The following is a 25,266-nucleotide window of genomic DNA, read 5'->3' as shown; positions in this document are numbered from 1 at the left end:
TACTTCTTTGCTCTGGTGTATATTTTGTAACTACACAGTGGAATACTGAAGGATCTTTGGACACAACGGAAAGAAATGAAGTACGTCCATTGGGCACCTTATATCAGAAACAGTAAATTTCAGACTTTTCAATTTCCTTTGAGCCCAGATGAACAAGTGAAATGAGGAATATAAAAATTTCTCAATAACACCAATGCTACTCACTATGCTGTTTAATAAATTATTTTTATTATTCTTATTTTTTTTTAGATGGACTCTCACCAACTTGCCCAGGCTGGAGTACAGTTGAGTGGTCAGCTCAATGCAACCTCTGCCTCCTGGGTTCAAGTGATGCTTCTGCTTCAGCCTCCCAAGTAGCTGGCACTACAGGTGCATGCCACCACGCTTGGCTAATTTTTGTTTTTTTTTAGTGGAGATCTGGTTTCAACCATGTTAACCAGGATGGTCTTGATCTCCTGCCCTCATGATCCACTTGCCTCAGCATCCCAAAGTGCTGGGGTTACAGACGTGAGCCAACGAGCCCAGTCAATAATTTTTAAAGCCAATATTATAATCGACATTCCATCTCAGAGGCAGAACACCAAGTTATTCAGTTGAATTCCCTCATCTTATTGTGTTCTTTTTACTCCCTTTCCCAGGTCTGTGACAAATGGCTGCCTGTCAGAAACTCCCTCTTGTGGCCATGGCCCCTACTCACCTGCTTCAGCCCACCCCTGCTGCAGTACTGAGTAATAGCTTACTGATCATCTGCCTCAGTGGCTAGAAATTCAGGATGAAACGAGTTTGGTTTGATTCACTGTCATATGATCAGCCCCAAGGAAACTGCCCAGCAGAGACAGGCTCTAGATGAGGACTTACAGAGTGCTTTCCAGAGCACATTTACTCTTGAATCAGCAAAATCAAACTTCTCAAAACCCCTTGCCTCTTTAAGTAATTCTGTATGTTTCTGAAAGCCATGACTTTAACCAGAAAACTGCTAACCAGATGTTTGGAAATGTTTGTAAGATGATGTATTTCCAACATTTGGGAGGGATGAAGAGGTGGCCTTACTTGTGAAAACAGCTTTCATATTTGAAGAGTAACACTATGGTGCCAGAAGAAAAGGGCCTGGCTGTTTGCTCATCCCTAGAATAAAGGACAAATCTCCTACTGTTGTGGGAATTAAGGAACAGGAGAGACCAATGAGTGGAACAGGAGGATTTTATTGGATGTAGCTTGACTTAGTGGAATAGCATTTAAAGGCTGAGCCCTGAACAAAGACAGGGCTTGACTTTTAACACAAGCACCCAAAGAGGGTTGGCCAGCTAGTGGCATGAAATCTGCAGGATGGGCAAGCAAGCTTATAGAAGCAGAACAAAGACACTTTTTTAAAGAAAGTGACAGGTGTTGTAACTCACGCATGTCTCATGACCTTTGCAATAATACTTGGATAGAAAAACAACAGCAACTTTCAAAATGTTTGTAAACCTCCAGAAGTGGTTATAAAAATAGCTGTGAGAGCAGCACAAAGAATATTGGTGTGGCATGAGAGTTCTAAAGAGGGGAAATTGATAAGAAGAACTTGTTTTTCTCATTCCTGCTTCTCAAATCCATTCTTTCCAGGCCCTAGCTCTGCTAATAGTGCTATTAGAGCCCCAACAGGTTCTGGCTTATCACTGGGTGTTGGAGTGAGTCACCTCAGTACAGAGAAAATTTTTTGTGTGTGTGTGGTGTTGTTTTTTAGCATTCCCCAATTCATTTCCACCTTTGATGCTTTTCTTAAATGAGGTTTAATAGAGAATATAATCACCATTTAATTCTTCAAGGTGGGGCAGTTCCCTATTTGTCAGTGGTTGGTATTTAGTTAGAGCCATTAGTTGAGCGGTCGTGCATGGCCTCCATGGCTGCTTGAATGTTTCTAACAAGGAAGGTCAGAGACAAGAGAGAGCAAGGGAGAATCCTAGTATGGCTAGAACTATTTTTGCTAAGGTCTTAAATTCTTCAAGGGATGAAAACGAGACCCTGAATAGGAAAACTGGAGACTATCCTTTCCAGGTCTGGGCTGTAACATGGGCCAGTTTTGGGATTTTGGCAGTTATATTCTTGATGACCTTTAATTTGATATTAATTTCTAAGCAGCAATTTTTTAGACTGAACTTTCCACATGCCCCTCCTTCCTGGACTAGGAGGTAGTTTAAGGCCAGTCGATTTTGATGAGTAGCATTCTTCATTTTTGTGGCTTGTTGGGCCAGCAGATTTAGGGCATTTGCAGTATTATTAATAATAATTTTCAGCACCACCTGTAACCTTATGAGGTGGTAGAGCATGAAAATAGGGATGCACTATCACCACATTCCATTTTCTGCCTGGGTGGCTGGGCCATGGTATTCGATTTTTTTTTTTTGTAGGGGACCATTTATTGTTTTACCGATTTCTTATGGTTATGTCTTTTGAATTTTTGTTTGTTTTGTATTTGTTTTATCATAGACTGGGTATCCTAAAGATTCTCCCTGTTCCAAGGGGATTAGAAAGAAGACAGCCTAATTGTTCCTGGTACCCAGGCCCCTGACCATTTAGCCAGCAACGGCCAATATGCCTATGGCCCACAGATACTATAGAGGCCAGTGGGCACCTGCCAGGTATTGGGAGCTTTAAGTTGGTACAAACAATGGTTTAGAGAAGGGAATCAGGAAAATGGGCTTGGTTGGGGTGGTTTGGAATTATTTTTACTCCAACAGACAGTGTTTCTTAGTGTTTTAGTGTAATATTGTTCTAGGCAAGTTGACTTTCCTGCTGGGTCTGTAAATGTGTTTCTCCGACGAGCAATGCAGAATTTTCTGATAATGGAGGTCTTTAAGAACCAGATGCTCTTGCTTGTGAACACAGGTTCGGGGGAAGAGACAGTACGAGTGAAGTTATTTTGGGGCATTAGCTTTCTTGCCTCCCATGGCCATTGGTGCCCCGTCAAGCATAGCATGAGGAGTTATGTAGGCTGCCGGCTATGTTTTCAGCCAATTAAGCAAACGGGATTGTGGTTAAGGGAGAGGGCTCAAATATTTTCTGGTTGATATTTTTAAGGAATGACTTATAAACTTGGAGTTTTTGGGTGGAATGTATCCAAGATTTCTTGATAATATATCAATAGACTTCTGAGTCTGTTTTCTGGCCACTACCTTGTATTTCCAGCAGAGTCTTTAAACCTGCATTCCATATGGGCAGATCCGGTTTAAGATGGTGAGATTTACAAGATTGCAACAGCTTGTCTTACAATTTTTTGTTCAGGTATTTTGGTAAGTATGACTGGCCCCGGCGATTGCAGGTTAGAGGACTGAATTATGCAGTTCCAGCAAGTTGTCTGAGAAATTGGCAAAGCAAGCAAGGGGTGCACATATATTTTTGTGACAACTATTACGGTGCTCTTCAGAATTGGAGATTATGGGAAAGGTTGTGCCCATCAATGTTAACTGGCACATATTAAAAGATAAGGACATAACTCCCCTGTGGGAGGGTGAGGCCTTGGTTTGGTGTGGCAGGTTTCCTTCTTTTGACCCATAAACTTTAAAAGAGGTCCCAGGTAGGAATTTTGGGTTATAACATACATAACGCTGGCCGTTTCCTGGGTCACAGACTGAGTAAGTTGTCTGGTTGTGAGTACAAGTTCCTAGGTGGGTCCCTGTCTACTTTTGATAAATGTGGTATAACAGGGTTTTGGTTATGGTGCTCCCTGACTGAGTATTGTGAGTGTAGTGGGGGCACTCTTCTATGGTCTCCTTTTCTGACACAAATAAGGGGAGTATTACAGTTAGGAGGGAAAGAAGTGGGCTTAGTTATCCCTGTGCCTGGAGTAGGAACTAAGTAAAGAGTAACATGTTTATATCCAAGAGGAAAAGAAGAGGTTTTTACCCAGCGGAGGAGTTTGAAGAAAGTGACAGAACGATAGTAAAACAACGATTTGATTTAAGATTTTAATCATTATTTTATTATTATTTTACTCCAGCTTTGACCGTACGTAGACTAGTCAACTTCCAGGATGACTAGAGCAGGGCTGTTGACTCCTCAGATTTTAGCTGAGCAGAGACTGGTCAGCTTTTGGAGTGACCAGAGCAGGGCTGTCATCATTTCTCATGGCAACTTGGTCCTGTCACAGGATTAACTGGCTCCAGTGATCTGGGTCATGTTGGCTGCCAGTTTTAACTGACTGTGGAGGATCCAGCGCACAGTTTCTGCAACTTTAACTGCCGTGGAAGTGGACAAGGTTAGAGTATAGGGCCCATCCCATGTGGGTCCTAAAGTGGTTGGATTTTATTTCTTATGTGCACAGAAGCCCCAGGTCTAAAGGAGTATGCTGGTTTTGCTAGGCTTATGGGCAGTTTTTCCCATACTCAGCCATGGACCACTTGCATGGCTGTCTTTAAGGCCTGCATTTGCCTTCTTAAAGTTAATTTCCCTAGTTCACAAATGTCACCCCTAATTTGAGCTATGATTGGGGGTGGCCGGCAGAAGATTCCATAGGACAAATATCCAGTTTGTTTTGTGGGGGTATACCTGACTCAGAGGAGCACCATGGGCAGGACTTGATTCCATTCCAGATGGGTTTCTTGGCAATATTTTTTAGAAGCTGTTTGAGTGTCTAGTTCATGTATCCTACTTTTTCTGAGCTTTGTCACAGGTAGACTGTGTTTAGTTTCCATTTTATTTTTAACAGCCATGTTAGTCCCTGAATTATCTCAGCTGTAAATTCCAGCCCATTTTCTGACCTCAGAGTTAGAGGCAGTCTAAATCTGGGGATAATATCTCTTAACCGTACTTCAGTTACTTCTCCTGATTTCTCTGTTGGGGTGTGGAAAGCCTCAAACCATCCCAAAAAGGTACAGACAAGCCCCAGTAGGTACTGATAGTCCCCTGATTGGGGCAGTTTGGTGAAGTTTATAAGAAGTTTTTCACAGGGTGTGGCTCCCGTTTCCTGAATTCCCAGGGGCCTAGTGGGCCCTTGTCATAGCTTGTTCTGGGCACAAGTTAGACATTGTTTGCAGATGGATCAAGTGATGGCAGGCAGCCGCAGCACATAAACATGGTGTCCTAATAGTGTTTTCAGTGACGTTTTACCCATATGGGTTCCTTGATAGAATTGTCTTACAAATTTTAGAGCCACTGTTTCATGGTTGGCTAGCCTCCTGTTGGAGAATTTTCACCATAACATTTTATATATTTTCCAGACTCTTGGGCAAAGCAGGGCTTCTCATTTGGAGGTAACTTGAAACCTCCGAGAGGAGAGGCTTTGGAAGTAGAGGCATAGCTATGGCTTTCTTCTTAAACTGAAGGGTAGTCATTGCTGCCCCTCTTGCCTCTCTGTCTATCTTTTTGTTCTTTTTGGCCTCCAGTGTTCCTGCCTTTTGGTGCCCCCTGCAGTGCATAACAGCCATCTTCTTCGAAGCACATACAGCATCTAAGAGTTGCAGAATTTTTTCTTTGTACTTTATTTTTTTGCCTACAGCCATTAAGAGTCCTTTTTCTTTATATATAGCCCCATTGTCATGCAACGTGGCAAACGTATATTTGGAATCTGTATAAACATTGACCATTTCGCCTTTTGCTAGCAAAATGGTCTCCTTAGGGCTATTAGCTCTGCCTTTTGGGCTGACATTCTGGTGGGCAGTGGCTGAGCTTCTACCACTGAGTCTAATATCATCACAGCATACCCAGCTTGCTGGACACCTTTCAGTGTAAAGCTGCTTCTATATGTATAGCATTTAACATCTGGGTTCCAAAGGGGTTGTTCTGTAAGGTATCTCTGGATTCAGAGTACCGTGTCTACTGTTTCCATAGAGTCATGAAAGGGGACTCCAGGTTCAATCGGGAGCAGGAGATAGCCAGCTTAAGGGTGTTTATTATTTTGAAAGTTATGTGGGAATTTTTGCATAAGAGCACCTGGTACCGAGTCATTCTCGGACTTGATAACTAATGGTGCCCTGTCTAATCCATTAAAGTTAGAACTGAATGCGGTACCTGGATGGTCAGTTGTTGTCTTAGAGTCAGTTTTTTAGCTTCTTGTTCCAATAAGGAGGTGGCAGTTAGTGCCCTAAGCCAAGGAGGCTACCCTAGGGCCACAGAGTTCAATTGTGTCGATAAGTACACCCCTGGGTGATGTCATGATTTCATGACTTGACTCAGGACCCCTATAGCCAATCCCTTTTGTTCATGAAGAGAGGCTTGATTATATTTGGCAGTCCTATGGCTAGGGCCTTAGTTAAGGCTTGTTTGGGTTGTTTAAACACCTTCTTCTCCTGGACAACCTCCAAAAGGAGGGGTTCCCTTTCCCCCCTCTTTGTGCCCTTATGTAAGGGCTTGGCCATTAGTAACAAATCTGGGATCCATATACAGCAGAACCATGCTTTCCCCAAGAATTTTCTTATTTGGCACTGGGTGGCCTGAGTTGGGAGTGCATAAACACGTTGCTTTTGCTCACTGTTAAGCCAGTGTTCCCCTTGGCTTACTATGAATCCCAGATTTTTTATGCTTTCTTGGCAAAATTGGGCCTTCTTTCTGAATACCTTATAACCAGTTTTCTATAAACATGGTGGAGAAAGACTTGGGTTCCTTGGTAGCAGTCCCCTGGCGTTGGGTCTGCCAGGAGAAGGTTGTTAACATATTGTAGCAAGGCACAGTTGTCATTTGGTGGGGTGTGGGCCTTAAGGTCTGATTCCAGTGTGTTTCCAAAGACTGTGGGAGTCTAGCCCATGTGAGCTCCTCCCCCATGCCTGTGACTGAATCGTGCCATTGAAATGCCAAGATGGGCTGACTAACTGGTGCCAGGTGAAGACAGAAAAAAATATTCTTTAAGTCCAGGCTAGTAAATTAGGCAGCACTTGCCAGAATGAGTCCTATTAGTGTGTATGGGTTTGGTACCACCAGGTGGATGGTTACAGTAGCCTGGTTCACATCATGTAAGTTTTGCACTGGCTTATATTTACCAGACCCTGGATTTTGTATCGGTAGGAGTAGAGTGTTCCAGGTTGACTGGCGCCAGACGAAGTTTCTGTGTTTGAAAAGTCACTTTAAATGTTTGTGAATGCCCTGTGTGTCTTCTCAGGGAAATGGGTATTGGAGAACCTCAACTGTGGTTGCTCCCGGTTTTAGCTTTACTATTACTGGTGCCTGATTTAGAGCCAGCCCCAGTGGGTTATTCTTAGCCCATAGTCCAAAAATTTTACCAGGTAGCATAAATAACTTCTCCAGCCCAGGCTTTTGAGACAATTCCGGTGACTGTTATGTGTATATTCTTTATTCCTCAGCCTGTGTAATGATGAGGGTTAACACCATGACCTTTGGGTGAGTTAGGTTTAAAGTTATATCCTAGTGTGTCCCAAAAGCAATCTGTGCCTGCAGTTTCTGGAGCAGGTCCCTTCCAAGTAAGGGAACTCGGCAATTTGGGAGGTATAGGATTTCATGTTGGACTTCTTGTCCCCCTATGACACAACTCCTTGGCCAGAAAAATGGCCTCTTTTCTGGGACCTCTGTAGCCCCAATAATAGTTGCATCGTGTTTAGATAGTGGCTCTATGGGCTGTATCACTTCTGAGTGATTAGTGCTAGTGTTCACCATAAAGTCCATCTGTTGATCCCCTACTTCTGCTGTGATCACGGGCTCCTGGGGGCCTTAGGAGATGCAGCCCAGTCTTGCATTGTCTTCATATTTTTCAGTCTCTACCAGCCTCATCAAGTTGATGCCTGGCCCCCTTAGGGTGTGGTGGTCCTTGGCTGGCCATTTTATAGATTTATGTCCACTGTTATTTCTTTTACTGCCCTCTAAACACTTATTTTTCCAGTGTCCCCTCTTTTTGGATTGTGCACATTGATCCCTATCTAGTCTCAGCTGACTTTTGAGTCTCTGCCCTGTTTGGCCCCTTCCACATCTGCATCTGTATCTGCGTCTGCTTGTGACGATAGCTTCCCTTTCCATGAGGGCTGCCGCTAGCAGATTGGCCCGCTTCCTGAGTCTCCAATCAGCCTCCCTTTGTGCCTCCTGGTCACAGTTAATGTACACCTTGGTGGCCACTTCTAAAAGCTGGGTTGCCTTTATGCTTGCAAAACCATCTAGCTTCAGCAGTTTTTACCTGATATCCCCCTGGGCTTGTCCTACAAATGCTGTGCTTACCATCTGCCGATTCTTAGTATCCTCAGTGTCGAAAGGAGTGTAAAGCCAGAATGCCTCACAGAGTTTCTAATAAAATTGGCTAGGGCTCTCATCAGTTTCTGGAAGCACTTTAGAGATTTTTCATATACTGACTGCTTGTTTTCTGCCTTCCTTCAGACTTTGCAGGAGGGCTCCTCAGTACCTCTGCAGGTGCTGAAACTGGGTCAAAGCATGTGAGTCCCAGTGGGGGTCTTCCTCTGGGAACTGGAACTGAGCGTATGCCTGGAATGGCACATTGGCTTCTAGCCAGTGGAGGGTTGACTGAGCCATCCATCGGTGCTCTTTAGTGTTGAACAGCAGCAACAGAAGCTGTTTACTATCTGGCCAAGTTGGATTATGTGTCTGGAAAATAGACTACATCAGATCTAAGAGGGCCTGGGGCTTCTCCATGTAGGAGGGAATATGGTATTTCCAGTTTAGGGGATCAGTGATTAAAATAGGCTGGCAGATGGAGGTCCATTGCCCCCCATTGAATATGGCCATGTTCATCATAGTAGAGGGGTCCCCAAGTCTCCCTGAGAGGCATCTGCAGAACCGGGGCATGGCCAGACCAGAGGCAGCTCTCTTGATTATTCTGACAGTCCTCCTTGACCTCCTGGGACAGGGGCTCTGATTTCTCCCTTTGGGGTGAAACCTGGGGTGTGTCACCTTCTGAATTGACTCCTCAGAGGCCGTTGGCCTTGGTAAAGGGAGGCAGATAGGGGTATAGGGAGGAGGGATTTCTGTCTCCTCTTGTGGTTTCTGTAAAGCCAGTTTTTCTTGCCCTTTTTGTGGCTTTTCCTTTCTCTCCATAGCTGGTGGTGAAGCTAATTCCTCTTGTACTTTAAGCTCGGCTCAAGCCACAAGTGTTTTGCAACAAGCCATCAGGTAGGACTGTAGCCATCCTGCTCAAGTTTGGAGGATATTTAGCCATGAGTGAAGATAAGAAAATTAGTCTAGATGCCCTGGCTGTCCTCTGACCCCAGTCACCACTTGATGTACATGGCCAATTGTTCCCCTATCTGTTGTTCTTTCAGCTGGCCACGTGACACTAAAAGAGGGACACTCCATTTCACAAACGGTCTTTTATCTCTGGGGAGTCAACTTGATCCTATAATTCCCTTCTTAAACTTTTTAACATACATTATAATGCGGTGGGTTTTGACGACTTCCCTCCCATTTCCTCACAGTTATGGCACCATGCACTTACACTTTTACTTTTGTGCTTCACACTGATTAGACAGCCTCCCTTGCAGGAGTATTTCAGATGCTGCTTAGCTTTAATGGAGGGTTTGTATAAACCCTGAACCCAGACCACCACAATCACTAAATTGTGGGGTGCCTCACTAAGCCATATGTGCTAGTTCCAGAGGACGTTTGCCCGTAGTCCTGGTCAGTCCCACACTTCACTCAGGATGTACGGTCTACGCTAAGAGGCCTGCAGCCCCACACACATCACCCTACTCTTGCACACACATTCACCCACTTCCCTACCCTCAGTTCCTCTTCATAGGTTGGGGTGTAGGTTTCATTTGAATTAGCGAGCAAATCTTGCGTCCTGGGTCGGATAACTAGGTACACCCTGGGAGGTGATCCGGCTCCCATTCCATCTTTATGGGATGGGTCCTTCCTTGGGCCCCGAACCTTCCCATGGTTCAGCAGCACGCTGTCCGTGGAATTGTTCTGTAACCCCTTAGGTTCCATCGTGCTGGAATAGCTTCATTATTCCTTCTAGAAGTGTTTTGTGGATTTGTGTGTTGGGAAGGTCATGCTCTCCTGGTATTTTGACTGGGAGAGAAGAGGATTTCCTCGAAGCCCTTTTTATCTGTGCCTATTGGAGATTCTCAACTAAAAGCTCTTACAGTCCATCATCTGGGATATTGTATGGAAGACCTAAAAGAATCCAATAAAGGTATCATACTATCACTCTTCAAGTCGTGAAGTCCCTAGAGAAACTGTCTTCCTCTTTCTAGATTTCAGAGACTTTGTTTTCTAACATTATGTCAGAAACACTGGCGTGCTGCATTGTAACTGGAAATTCTAAAAAGTGAAAGTTATAGAAAGGCTTTTAAAGTACCATGGAAAGGAAATCTCGTAATGCAAATCATGGGATGATATTATTACACAGAATGACATGATGTGATTTACCTACAATAAAATGATTGTATAAAATAAAGTCTTCACCAAAATTAAATGATCTCAAAGTCTTCATAATATATGTGAAACTGATTGATAGCATATAAATAATATAGATCAAGGAAGAAAAGATAGAATACCTGCCATACACTTGGGAAGATAATATAGTTGGCAATGCTTCCAGAAAATATAAGCAAAAATATGTCTTGCCACAATTGCTGAAAGGATATAGTAATAACACCTTTCTAAGAGGTTTTATTTGTTATGTAATGAGTGAATTAAAAGAAATCAAGCACTTATTTCTAGCTCTCGGGAGCAAAGTGAAAATTTGCAAAAGGAACTCTTATGAAAGCAAGAGATTATAAGTGTAAGACAAAATTATTTTAAAAATAAACTCAATATCAAGAAAGAAATCGTTTCTGTGGTTTGGACTCCAATAATATTCATTTGAGATCAACATTGGTAGTTTGTTGAAATAGTCAATTGAGGAGTAATGTTGGATATATTCCCAGGAAAGAGACCATTTCTTTGTTCAGTGGGGCTGGACACCCTTCCTAAATAATTGTTGAAAGTAGGTGTTGTTCAGACATTCAGTGGGAACATTTCAGTCAATACCAAAAGCCATGCCCACAGATACTAGGATCTAACACAAAATGAGATTTTCATTCAAATCCATGAAAGAAAGATTTATAACTCAACCTCTATCCTGTGGTATATTCAAGACTGAGGAGAGGATTTTCACAGTACCTAAAATATATAACTTCCTCGAAATCAGACTGGTATAAACTACTAGATATGAACAATTAAGTTCTTAAAAATCTGGAAAGATTAACGTAAAACTGCCCCCCAACAAGAATAACTTTGCATTCAAGAACTTAAGATTGCTTTACCACTTCAAAGGCAACATTGCTAATTCAATGGTGGACATTCCATGCCCTACGGGCTAGTCCAGGAAGACACTTAGGCGTCACACTCAAAAACAAAAAGTTAAATCACGAGTCTTCATAATAATTAGGCTTAGGTATTGTTTGAGATGAAGAAATAGAATCTAAAGGCAAAAACAGGTGAGTAGCAGGACACAAATAAATATTTTAAATAGACAATTATTCATCATTGAAAAATGAAGCACATGCTAAAGGAAATCAAAGAATTTTTTGTTTGTTTCTTATACAGTAGATTCAGTATAAATATAGCAAGAATAAGTAGTTTCCTAAGTAGATCTCAAAGTAAGGTTGCCACATGTAGGGAGAAAATACAGGAATTTAAATGTCACATTTTAATTTGAAATTTGACAATTTGTTGACAAAAAACAAATAATTATTTTTAGTATAAGTCTGTCCATGCAATAATGAGAATATTACTAAGTTACAAGAATATTGACAATTATACTAAAATGCTTTTTGTTGTTTATTTAAAATGAAAAGGTAACCGAGAAGCCTTCATTTTATCTGGTGACCATCTATGAAAGAGAAGTTATGAAAGTCAAGCTCAGAGTAGGAAGCTTTCATCTACATTCATGAAAAACACCGTAAGACAAAAATGTGTAGAAAGGGCAGCAGGCAGAATACAAAAATAATCTCTACACAGAATATGATTCCACATACACTGTTGGTATTTAAAACAAAGTTTCAACTCACAAAGATTATGCAAATATCAAAGACTTATCAAAAGACCAAGGAAAAGAAGAATAAAAGTTTCCTTCTTTCTTTTTACAGAATGAAGGAAAGTAAACCTCTAAATGAAGGAGGTATTACAAGAATTTTTTTTTATGGGGCTAATAAATGTTTTACTTTGTTAGAAAAAAGTTAACTAACTGGGTCCTACTGACTAACTACAGAAAGGGTAGAAATATCGTGATTAATGTCAAAAGCAGGAAAAGAAATAAATATGAGTAAGACAATTAAATCAACACAGTTAGGGAAAACATGTGGTGGGTGGGGAGAGGAAGAGAAAAACTAAGGCAAATGGGAGGCAAAGGCAGAGACAAAGAAAATCCAGGGTAGAACAACTGTCTAATCGGATATCGGTTATGGAGATAACAGAGTAACCATATTAGATATAAACTGTTTAAATTTCTGTGTTAAAATATAAAATACTCATATTAGATTGAGAGAAAAAATTGCTTTTACCTTGAAATAATGACACTGAAATATTGAAAATGAAGGTTTAGAGAAAATTAACAAGTATTTGTCAAAAAAGTAAGGCCACTGATACTATATGAGGCAAAGGAGATTTTTAAGAAAAATGCAAGCAATAAAGAGGGATAATAATATATAACTTGTAAGGTGACAGACAAAATAAGAAATATCAACATATGAACAAACTTTTAAAGATAATATAACAGTCAGGAATTTAAATGCCTCAGTAGCATTGACTCAATATACACCGGAGGCAAATTTTATAAATGTCTATTTAGGTAGACAAATCCCAGTTGTAGTGAGAGGTGTTTATTATATTACTCACCGAGACTGATGAGTACACAGACATTTAAGAGTTAATAGAAAGACTTTGCAATGTTTGTGTACTTACTTTTCTTCAGTTTTTTAATGTGAAGCCAAGTAGTAGAGCACACTTTTAGGATTCTACTAGCTCTGCTAGCAGAGCAAGTATTAATACAGAATAACCCTCTTCCCCTTTAACATCAAGTACGTCTCATCTAACTAGCACTTTGTTTTGCCTTCTCACATGCTCACTAGACATCATGCTCAACCTTCTCTTCCAGATCCACTTTCTCATGATACTGTTTTCTAACTGGTCTTACTTGGATGCCAGCAAAATGCAGGCTTACCAGGATATCAAAGCAAAGAAAGAACAGGAACTACAATATATCCAGTTTCAGTAAAAGAAGTAACTCAATTCTTACACACGAATGTTTGCCGGGGGGCTTTCAGTCAATGCATTTACAGCCCTGACAAATTATGAGACAGCTGCTCTGCATTACACATGAGTATTCCACCAAACTAATGTAGACATTCAAACACCTCACTTTCTCTCTCAAGCTGCTGGGATGCAGCGCCTGGAATACCTTGCAGTGAGGAAATCTTTTTCTTTAGAGCAAATATTGGAAGTTTCATGTTAGCCATTTTAAAAGGCAACACTTTGACAAAATGACCTTTCACTCTTTGGAAACTGGGGGCACATTCACATTTACTGCTAGAACATTTCTCCCAAAACACTCAGTGTAATATGTGGTACTCTTTGATATGGACTGGTGACATGCCGGCATCAAAAGATGAGACCATACATTTACATGTACGTCATTTATTCTCAGTTAAGTGTTATCTACATAGGAAATAAACTGAAATTGTTGTGCAGTTTCAATTCTGACTGCTGACATTTATTAAACTTTGGCTCAAAGGTAGTGTGATTCGTCTCATGATTGACTTTTTGTACTAGCTTTCTCTCCCAAGTCCGTGTTCCATTAATTTCCTCAGCCAATAAGAAAATATTTTTCAATAATGCTAAAATTAGCTCCATTTGCTGACCCTACTACTAAAGAATCTGGATTCGGATTCATTGACAAGAATTCCAGAGGCACTTTTATCATAAGTTTTATTTCAACAAAATACTGATCCAGTTTTTATTATCCTCAAGAGTTAAATGTCAGCTCTGCCTTAAGGAGTATTTGGTATATACATTTTTCAGAATTTGTATCATAACCAGAGATGCAAATATCTTTAATAGAATTTTGTTCTGTATATTTTTTTTTAATTAAGAATTGTTACCTTACTCAAACGACCACCTTTTTAAACCATTTTTCAGTGGTCTGTGTAAACAGTTTCATATCAATTATCTGAAACCTAATTTAAAATTGGCCACAGACATCTAACCTCCTACTGTTAACAGACTTGAAGATGTAGATAATTTAAATTAGGGTTGGCATTTCATTTTTTCTTACCTATATCTTAATTTCTTGGAATAATAAAGTTTGATGTTCCACAAGAAAACTACTTAAGTCATTTTCAAAAGAAACTTGCCATCTGCATTACTGTGTTCCAGACATTAGGTGACTATAGGTACTGGGTGTTAGCAATGGTAAACTCCGTGCAGTTCTTTATGAAATGCTATATGTAACTGTTGGGTACATCAGTGCTTTCCAAATGGGTTGCTTAATATAGGATCCACTATGTATGTTTATGTTAAATGGTAACTTGTGATTTGGCTGTTTCCTGGGTTTTAGAACACCACAATGCAGAAATATATTCAAAATTAACAAAAGTAAACTTTTATCTGGATGCTATTAAATTTGAACATCAGGTATCATACATCAGCAGATCTTTTTTTTTTTTTTCTTTTTCTTTTTGTTACTCCATAAAAACACCTGTTTGGGATTTTTTCTTTTAACTGGGAGAAGCGCTCTTCTGTACAGAATGGCTATTCTAAAAATAGCTACGTGTTTTATTTTCCTCTTGCATGACAGATTTAACTATTCTTTCCAGCAATGGTGGTGCCTTCAGAGTCCAGTACTCCAGAAGAGTTAGTGTCTTGAGCCTAATTTTACATTTCTAATTCTGGTAGCTATTATCAGAAACTTTTGAAAGTTTTGTTTATGTAGCCTAGTATTTTTAATGTAAAGAGAATTAAATTTTGCTATGTATAAATTTTTGTAACCTAACAGTGAATCCATACTTTCAATCAGTGTCAAAGGCTTCCTATAGTTCTACTCAAGTGTTACAATAAATAATTGTAGATAATAGTCAATATTTGTGTATGCTTAAAGATCTATATTGGTGAAAATAGTAGCGGATGTAGTAAGAGAAATGAAATAAAAGTATAGCTTCATTCACTTGCCTTTTTACCATATGTACATCCAATCTTTCTTTGTCCTCAGTGTGGTGTCACTTTGGAATAATGTGCATAGTAAAGATTGCACATTGGTGTGGAAATCAAGTCCGTGAGCGCTACTTTGTTTATTTCTGGCAAAAATCTCTTCAGCAATTTAAGAAAATATTATAGCCTATTGGGCTGTATTGGGCATAAAAGTGCCCCTAGCACTTCTGTGGTTTTCTGTAGAAAGTAATAGCTTTTCTGATTAGTTTTGAAATAAATAAATGCCACCTACCTACGAGATTAACAAGGCTTGAACTTTTGCAAATTACAAACGATCAAGGCCTGTGTGTAGTTGTTTATTTTTCAAATCAAAGGTATAAAAATGGAAAGATTTACTCAGAAATATATAGAAAACCAGTTCTGTCACTCTCTAGAGTTGCAGAGCTAAATATGTTACTCAGAATTTTATTATATAATCTGTTTGAACTCCTTATCTGTCAACATAATTCTGAATTTGGATTCTCTGCATCTGACCTTCCTTAGTGAGGCCTAGGATTTGTCACTACTGACACATGGCCACTCCTAATTGAGGTGCTGACTCTGGATCATCACCCTTTATTCTGGCATGACAGAAAAACCGTCAGCAGTTCAATTAGTGTGCTATCTGTCACACTGCTTACTGCCTATTGTTTAAGTAGCGTTTTGTGCAATTATTTGTCACATGAATAGATAGAGGAAACTGTAAATAATACACAGATGAGATCACAAGCACCTATAAATTATCCATAGTGATTCTGCCACAAAATCTAGGACACTCTAGAGGTCTGAGTAGAGATTTTTTCCAGTTCTATGTTGTAAAAGCTAACTTTTAAAAAATAAAAATGAGATCAATTGTAAAGGAGGAGCCCTGTTTTTAAAAACTAACGAAATACTTGAAGCCCATTCATTAAGTATGAGGACCAAAATTTCCACAATAAATATGCCATCTCAGTATGTTCCTGATGCTATAACACAGTACCTTGGACTGGGTAACTTATGAAACTGGAAAGAAATAAATTTCTTACAGTTTTAGACACTGGGAAGTCCAAGATCAAGGCACTAATAGGTCCAATGTCTGGTGAAGGTGGGTCTCTTCTTCCAAGATGGCACCTTGTTGCTGTGTTCTCCAGAGAGGACAAATACAGTGTCCTCTAATGGTGGAAGGGCTAAAAAGCCTAGCTACTTCCATTGAGTTCTTTTATAAGGTCTCTAATTGCACTCTTAACCTCCTCCCAAAGTCCCCACTTTTTAATTCTATCACACAGGGGCATTTAAATTCCAACATATAAATTCTGGAGCGACACATATATTCCAGCCACAGGTGTCAAATGGAAAGACCACAGGCAATATTGTACTATTTCTAATGCCTAGAAAAATGTGTATCTTAATGTTTAGGTAGAAAACAGAAATATGCTGGGAAAAACGACGTCTCGTTGTAAAGATCACAGCCCAACTCTTCGGAGGAAAAAACACAGCTTACCCTTCTCAAATGTAAGCCTAGATTTGAGGAATATAGTAGGTTATACTTATCTAAAAATTTAGTAGAAAAATAAGAAGGCTTTTTTAAAAGAACAGCTCCTTTTAGTATAATGAATGAGACATTTTATGACTGGAAAAGGGGGTTTCACTTGACTCGATTATTCTCGGTTCATACACTATAGTACCAAATACATTAGGAAAAACCAGTACACTGGATTACCCACCGGTTTCTATTCAGAGTTTTGTCTGATGACAGAGAAACCTTTACAAAGGAGTAAATGTTATGTAACTTCTCATCATATTGAAATTAGAAGCTGGGGAGCAAACCTGGTTACCAAGAGTCATCTGGTTCGTCATGAGAAAAGCCTGTTAAATTAACAAAGGAAAGAGAAAAATTAAAGGGTAAAAATTTTGAAAATTTGTGTCGGACTTTTCTGGTATCTTTATAATGGTTTCAACTTATATCCTGGGGAGTTTCTGGCCTAGCTTATAAATTACATTAGGAACAATTTCACACGTTAAAAATATCAATCCATTCTTTTTATAGTCAGTAATTCTGACTGATTCAATAACTTCTTACGGGCAACCTCAAATTTCTATCCATTTCTTTAGCTGACACAATGAGCGATTAGCTGTTCACATATAAAACACAGTGTTGGGAAACCAAGTCCATTTCAACTTTTTCCGTAGATTGAAGCATGTCTATAGGGAGCCTTCCTGAACCACCTTTCTTGAGCTCTGATTATGTGGCAGAAAGGGAAGATTTTTGAAATTTGGTATGTATTAATTTTATGATATAAGTTTCTCTAAGAACCATTTTTGAAACATATATGTCATTTAAAAGCCTAAAAACGTTGTGACTGATAAATACAAAATTTAGCAAGCACATCAAAATAAACGATCAGGTATGCATTTAACACCATGATACTTCAGACTTATATAAAATATTAATGTCAGTACATATGTACTTGTTATATGATAATAGTTGTTTTCTTTCTTGTTCCTAAAAAACATGAAAAACCCTACCTTTACAAACATTGATAAACCAAAACCTATTAAATACTTTGTCTTAAGAAAAAAAATCCATAATTTTTTTCAAAACAGCATTACCTTTAAATGACTCAAGGTTCCATGTGAAATTTAGATTTTTTATGCTTTCCACCTTTTTGTCTTCAATGGAGGAGAAAGATTACTCAGATGTGGATTCCTGTTCCAAGGAGTTAAAATAAACCACAGAAGCCCTGTGTGTCCCCCACCCACAGCATGTATGCTAGTGAAGTAAGTTTTTGTAATGAAAGTCATTGCTGTCATCATTGGAAAACAAATAGATCATCTAAATGCTGGGAGCGATGAATTTCCCTCAAGCGTCCTATGCTTTAGATCTGAATTAACCAGGAATCCAGGGAACATCCATGTGTTATGGTAATTCAAGCAAGACTTAACAACTGTGTTAAGTGGACAGAGTAATCCATCTGATAGGACAAGAATGAGAACCCAGAAGGGAAGAGAACCTGCGGAAAAAGGGAGGCACCAAATGCCCCTGGAAGCAGCCTTGGACTGGCGGCCATGTCCGCCCTTGGGGTCTTCTGATGCCAGCTAGCTGACATTGACAGCCTCTTCTTTAAAGTCTGTTTTCAAAGCAACATTCTGAAGCAAAGCACAGTCTACATTTTTTACAGACTTATTTAAGGATCAAATAGAATGCACAAAAATTACCTTCAAAAACAGTCATATACTATGAAACTCCTAAGCTCCATATTCTGTGCAGCCTTTCTTACTGCTTGTAAGACAAGAAGAGAACAGGGGTGCCTTTCAGGGCACATGCCACTCTTCTGACTTTGGACACTAATTGACTCCCTTCCCTGACCTCAACGTACTTATGAAAGCTGTACAATGCTGGAACTTGTACAGAGAAGCAACTCATTACCCTTTTGTGATCTAGATTTTCTAGCTCCCTTTGTTCCCTTGCTAAAATGTAGGTTACTCTGCCGTTTTTCTTCTCTGCCTTTGTTCTTTCACTTGCTGTTGCCATATTTTTTCTTCTTGCTTTTGTTCCTCAATTGGTTTCTGAACTATACCTAACAGTTCAGAAAATAAAGAGTAGCTGCCCGTATCAGATTGTTCAAATGAATGTGAGACCAGTCTGCAGGAGTCCTTGCCAAGACCCGGGGAGACTCTGCTTGGCTTTTGTTTGACACGTGACCTACTTCAAGTCGCTGTTCCATGTTCATCGACTTCAAGCCCCCAATCCCGCTCCTTGCCACTGCATCCCACTTCACTTGGCTGAGATGAGTTGTACTCATCCCAGGGTGACTTGTAGTCACCCTCATCATGACCGACTCCAAGTGACATATCCTCCCTCCATGTCGCAAGTTCTTGTCCTTTACACGGATCTCCTTCCCCTTTTTCAAAGCAAAGCCTACATTTCTGCCTCTGCCTTTGATTATAATCCCTCTCCTAACTTTAGGATCCTGACTGAGCCACTGATCCCTATTTCTGTACAGAGCAGTTTTATAACTCTTACTCTCATAAAGGTGCTCAAGTCTGTTCTCCCCTGAAAAAACAGAACAGACATCACACACCTGCACTCCCCCAGACATTCTAGCCAACTCACTTTTCATTCCCCACTTCCACCAAATGGACGGCAGTCCTTCCTGGGTTTTTCACGATTACTCAGATATGGATCCTTTCCGTATCTTTTCTTCTACTGCTGGTCTCTCTACCTGCCCTCACATCCACAGTTCTGACAGTTTCCTGCCATATACATGTGAAATCCTCACAGCACCAGCTTTGTCCTGGGTGGGATCATCCCAGTTTTTTTGTTTGTTTGTTTGTTTGTTTTTCTCATGCTCTTTCTATCCTCCATCCATCTAGCAACCAGTGCTGGCATGTTCACATTCCCTGTCATTCAGCTGCACCAGGGGCCTTTCTCACCATCTCCCTGGAATACTTAAAGAGCCCACCCAGTCAAGACTCTCCGTGAAGTCAGTCTCTGCCTTCTAGTAACTTGTGGTCATTTGCACCAGGAATTTCCTGAGGGGAAGGTGTGTATCTTCTGTGCAGTGTCTCTGCTCTGTTAGAGTTCAACACCATGGTAGTCTGGGCTCCAAAAATCTGCCTTTATCTTTCCATATTGATTTCCTATAACACCACCAGCTTTGACCTAGAAATATTTCATCTGTCTCAACCCACTCACTGGGGCCTGGCCATGGTTATGTCTTCCTTGCTTGGTATTCACCTTTACTGTCTCCTCGGCCTGCGGCCCTCCCACACTGTCATAAAGCCTGTTATGCTATTCAAAACCCAACTGAAATGCCATATCCTCCTTATTTCTGAAGGGACAAGTAACCAAACCACTCCAGCAGCTTACTTACACCATATCTTGCACCTGCTTGTTGAAAACCTACACATACTTGTTTTGTCCACTTCTATTTTTTTCCAGTGAAGCCCCATATTTTAGTAAATTGTCTGTTCTCTCTGCATCTTGGCACAGATCCCTACATCTCAAATGTTTCATTAGACATCATTCTCAGAAACAATTATGCTGACCTTTCTCTTACAGTTCTGACACATAACCGATGTTTTTAAAGCTAGAAATGCTAATACGAAGAAAAATTCATAGGTTTACCAGAGGACTCTGAACCTTCTTGCTCTGCCTTGTTTTAAACTCATCCGCAGTGACTGAGTTAATTTCATGAATAAGAGAGAAGCAACACAGTTTTTCCTCTCTCTCCACCCCCCATCTCTTCTCAATCCTTCTCATGAAATTAAAATACAAAAGAGGCGTTTGATAATTTCTGCAGGCAGAAAGGCAACTTTCTCTTTGCTAGAACAAGAAGTGAAAGTTACTCTAAGATGAGATTGTTTTCTTTTATGGAATAGTAATCTCAAAATAGGGATGTTGTTTAAGCACCTCTATATTTAGAAACAAAGAGGAAGAACAAACTGCTTTTCTGCTCTGGTGTATGTTTTGCACCTGCACGGTGGAATACAGAAACCTCTGTGGACACAAAGGCAAAGGAATAAAGTATGTTCATTGGGCACCTCATATCAGAGACACCAAATTGCAGCCTTTTCCATTCCATCTGTGCCCAGATGAAGAGGTGAAATGATGAATATAAAAATTTCTCAATAACAACAATGCTACTCACTATGCTCCTTAATAATTTTAAAGCTAGTATGATAATGTACATTCTCTCTCAGAGGCAGAACACCTCACTACTCAGTTGATTTTCTTTATTCTATCACATTATTTTCATTCCCTTGCTCAGGCCTGGGACAAACGGCTGCCTGTCAGAAACTCCTTCTTGGGGCCACCTTCCCTAATGATCAGCTGCAGCCCATTTCTTCTGCACTCCTGGGTAATGTCTTCCTGGCAATCTGCCTCAGTGACTAGAAATTCAGGAAGACAAGGGCTTGGTTGGGTTCACTGTTGTGCATTCAGCCCCAAGGAAAGTGCCAAGGAGAGATAGGCTTTAGATAAAATCTCTCTGAATGCTCTCCAAAGCAGATTTACTCTTGAATCAGCAAAGTCCAACTTCTCAAAACCCCTTGCCTCTTTAAGTAATTCTGTATGTTCTCGAGTGCCATGACTATAAGCAAGAAACTGCTAACAAGAGGTTTTGGAAATGTTTTGAAGATGATGCATTTTCAATATTTGTGGGGAAGAAAGTGTGGTTTAACTTGAGAAATTTTCTTTCGTGTTTGAGAATTAAACACTTTGATCCCAAAACAAAAGAGCCTGGCTGTTTGCTTAGCCCTAGAGCAAAGTGCAAAGCTCCCACAGCTCTCTTCCAGTCTCCCTGCACCTCCAGCAAGGAAAGTGGGTAATCTGAAAGAAGACTGGATTGAGAAAGTGGGCCAGACAAGAGAAGTCTGATGGCCAGTTTTTCTCCAGTGCTAAGTTAACTCAGCGTAACAGCTTTTCCAAAAATTAAAATACAAATATTTTCCCTAATTTCTTAAGACACGAAGGAAGCATATAGGTGGAAAAAGAAATAATATTTAAATGTTTCAATCACATAAAGTTCTCTAATGGGAGTTAACTATTATTTCAGTGTTTCATCATGATCTCTCAAGATGATAAGGCCTTCATGAAATAGTTTTTGCCAAAGAGTTTTGGGGAAAAGTCTACCTAGTATGCTAGACACTGAATAGTTAATGAAAACACTTTCAAGAAACTCATCTCGGAAGCCAAAATGAGAAGTCCTTCATTGCAACGTGTGCTTTCCTCAGCATGGTCTTTACAAGATAACACAGAAGTTACTTCAGAAACGTCATTAACGACATAACGACACTATAAACCCCACACCAATACTTTGACTAGATTACACCTACAAAAAGACCTTCAGTGATACATGAAATAATTCACAGAGTACACATTACACAGATGTGACCCTGCAGACTGTTAGTTAAAATAAATAACTTACTTGGGTATTGATATGAGATGGGCACAGCAGCTGCAGCAGCACCCACAAGAGGCATATCTCCAGATATGCGTACACATGAGACATATCTCCAGAAGAGAACTCATCCATTTCAAGATGCCCGGGCACGTTTCCTGCATCTGCATGAGGCACAAATGGTTTTCCCATGAGTCGTTCCTTAGCAATAACCTCCTTCAGAAATAAGGAGGATATGGCATTTCAGTTGGGTTTTGAATAGCATATCAGGCTTTATGACAGTGTGGGAGGGCCACAGTGCCATGTGGGGGCAACTGGCTGGAGCATGGGAACTGCAGCCAAAGTAACTAGGTGGACTTTTTCCTGAGCGGATTTTGTGAATTTCCAAACATAACCACTTGCCAATGTATTAGCTTGTCAGAGTCTTCTTGTACTTAAAAGAATTAACTTTGTTTACAAAACTAGATTTCCCAACAAGAAAGTCAACCCAGTGACAGTGAAGAATCCATATGGCTTGTTGACAATAATCTGAATTCTTTTGAAATGTCAGTGATTTCACCCAAATACTTTAACAGATATTCACGAAATTTACGGAGCCCTCTCATTGACTTTTCAAAATATTATACTTCCAGATTTGAAGATGACTTTTACAAGACTAACCAATGGGTTACATACAAATATAAAGATTTCTCAAGCTGGAAAGAACCACAGAGATGATATGCTCTACATGCTTATTTTACACTTACAAAGTGACTACAAAGTGAGACAGTCTAAGGCAGGGCCACAGCCAGAACACCAGTTTCTGGACTCTTAATATTCTTTTATCTCCACTCTTTCACTAAAAATGAGGTTTTCTGGATCTGAGGAAATCAACAGAATCAGTTAATTTAAAGAAAAATAACATCCTTGTATTCCATATAAAGGAAGAAATACATATTTTAAAATCACTTATTTTAAATCTTATAAGTTAATGTATTTATGAGCTTAGCTCAAACTTTAAAATTAGTCATGCTGAAATACTTTAAAAGTAAACAGACACAATCACAAAAACTTCATGATAGAAAAATGAGCTGATATAGCTGTATTTGTAGTTTTGTCACAGAATAAAAATGATCCAATTTCTAACTGCTGTTTTGTTTTTATATCAATAGATACGCTTCACCAAAATGAAACTTTCCAGATCTTCAACTTATGAAAACAGGTATTTATGTTGCAACTTACATTTAAAAGATGAGTCGAATTACTCATAATCCTTAGAAGTTAGCTTGTCCGCATCTGAAAATTCACTTTTACCTTGAAGTTCAATCTGTCTCTGGGAAAGACTAGATTGGAAGAATAAAATTCAAGAATGTGATGTTTTAGTAATGGAAAAGCCAAGAGCGTCAGGTGGCAAAAGTCCTTCTGTTACTCAAGAAAATGCTCTGAAAAATTCCTTTTCTCTTTTTTTTTTGTAAAGATTAACTCCACCTCACCACCACAATGAGGTATTTTTCTCAGCAATTGACACCTGTTTACTCAGTTACTCCCTGTAACTATGTTATGCTGTGAAGTAGGCAATACAGTTGTTAAAGAAGAATAATGTTGGACTCTGAATGTTATTCCGAGGAGTTTCATTTTTCAATAGTAATAAAACATTTCTAAAAAAATTCTGCATATTACCAGCATGAACCAGCTGAGGTGGCAATAGCAAAAACTTGAGTGATTAGAGTGCCCTACTCAGCATATGTGTATGTTTTATCCTTCCTTTTGGCTTATCACAAGTACAAAAAAAGAAAAAAAAAAAAACACCTGGCCATGTGTGGTGGATCATGTCTGTAATCCTAGCACTTTGGGAAGCTGAGGCTGGAAGATCACAAGGTGAGGAGCCTGAGACCATCCCGGCCAATATGGTGAAAACCCATCTCTACTAAAAATACAAAAATTAGCAGAGCATGGTGGTGCGTGTCTGTAGTCCCAGTTACTCATAGGGTGAGGCAGGAGAATTGCTTGAACCCAAGAGGCAGAGGCTGCAGTAAGGTGAGACTACACTCAAGCCAGGGTGACAGGGCAAGACTCTGTCTCAAAAAAAGAAAAAGCTTTGGAAACATGACTGGTGTTGCTGGAAACAGCAGACTAGAGAGGTTGATGTGGGGAAACTGGGGGATTTATTTATGTGCACCAGCTCAGCGAACTTATAACCAAAAAGGCTGAGTATTGAATAAAGACTGAGCAGGGCTCTTTATAAGCAAACTTTCAGAAGCAGAAGTAAAGCAGTTGATTATACAATGAAAGGTTATGTAATTTATAGCATAACTTTTGACTTTGCATAACATCTTGCCTTGCATAGCTGGGTTTTGCAGCTGTGTTGAAAGAAAAATGAACCTACAAATTTTACTAAATACAAGCATTGGTAAACATAGTCATAATTAATGCTTCAGAAGAAGGAGAGACAGTAAAGTAATTTGCTTTTAATTTCAACTTTGCTCCAGTAAGGGGTATTTGCAACCCATTCACTTGGCCTCAACTTTTTAGACACTGTTATTTTATGACTGTCCTTGAAGTGAGCTAGATAGATGGAGAAAATACTTGTTTTTTTTTTTCTTTGTCATACGTGTCTTGTCACATTTTTCTATTTTTTTTTGATACCATTTATAGGAGAAATTTAATAGAAGGCATTCGTATTATTTTATTCTTTATGGGAAAGCATGTTTTCTTCTTTGGTCAAAGGTTGATATTTAGTTAGGGCTATTAACTCAGTAGCAGTATGCCTGGTCATATTGTTTTTGGACTATGTAGTATGTGTAGAAGTTGGGAATCCTTTTATGGGTACTTTTTTTTTTTATCAAGGTTAAGTGGGGAAATAACAGCAAAGCAATGAGTAGCATATTTATGTTTAGTGTGGTTAGAAGAGATTCATACTCAGGGGAGGAGGTTGAGTATAGTGACAGAATAACAGTAAAATAATTAGTATTACAGTGAAAATTAGATTTAAGATTTTTAATTATATTTAACTTGCCTGATGAGTTTTTAAGTTTTGGCTGTGCGTAGACTAGTTATCTTCTGGAGTGTGATTAGAGCTGGGCTTGTTGTCCTCTTCTTCATCTTTAGTCTTGTGTGGATTCGTCGGCTTTTGGAGGGACCAGAGCAGGGCTGTTGTTCTCAGTGACAACTCTGTCTTGTTGCATGATTAGCTGCCTGTTTCAGCAAACCATGATGGATCGATTAAGGCATGATTCCTGCAATTTTAACAGCAGTGGGAGTGGATAAGATTACAAAATGGGACCCATCCCTTATGGGTTCTAGAGAAGTT

General features: G+C 39.7%; 1 protein-coding gene, 1 long non-coding RNA gene and 2 pseudogenes across 3 annotated transcripts in view; 2 read left to right on the top strand and 2 right to left on the bottom strand.

The window, feature by feature from the left end:
- Nucleotides 1-23,556, top strand: part of HSFY2 (heat shock transcription factor Y-linked 2) — a 59,325-nt gene extending 35,769 nt beyond the window's left edge. The window contains exons 5-6 of one of the 2 annotated variants that reach the window (NR_003509.1): nucleotides 17,266-17,351; nucleotides 23,129-23,556. Coding sequence is in view for 1 of the 2 variants with exons in the window: in NM_001001877.2 (NP_001001877.1) it covers nucleotides 23,129-23,227 (99 nt within the window). In the remaining variant the exon portion in view is untranslated. The remainder of the gene's footprint in view (nucleotides 1-17,265; nucleotides 17,352-23,128) is intronic. The other variant, NM_001001877.2, reaches the window with a different exon arrangement.
- On the top strand, nucleotides 12,818-13,353 carry GPM6BP2 (glycoprotein M6B pseudogene 2; annotated as a pseudogene).
- Nucleotides 15,799-25,114, bottom strand: TTTY9A (testis expressed transcript, Y-linked 9A). Its single transcript, NR_001530.1, has 5 exons — nucleotides 24,973-25,114; nucleotides 23,199-23,299; nucleotides 22,724-22,837; nucleotides 22,005-22,141; nucleotides 15,799-16,941 (listed from the first exon to the last, which is right to left on the bottom strand). It is a non-coding gene; the product is annotated as a testis expressed transcript, Y-linked 9A (long non-coding RNA).
- OFD1P6Y (OFD1 pseudogene 6 Y-linked) overlaps nucleotides 16,556-25,266 on the bottom strand; it is a 64,714-nt pseudogene continuing 56,003 nt past the window's right edge.

The sequence above is a fragment of the Homo sapiens genome, chromosome Y (assembly GCF_000001405.40).
Source record: "Homo sapiens chromosome Y, GRCh38.p14 Primary Assembly".
Taxonomy (NCBI): Eukaryota; Metazoa; Chordata; class Mammalia; order Primates; family Hominidae; genus Homo; species Homo sapiens.
Note: the sequence above shows the minus strand (reverse complement) of the source record. Positions and strands in the feature narration are given on the sequence as shown.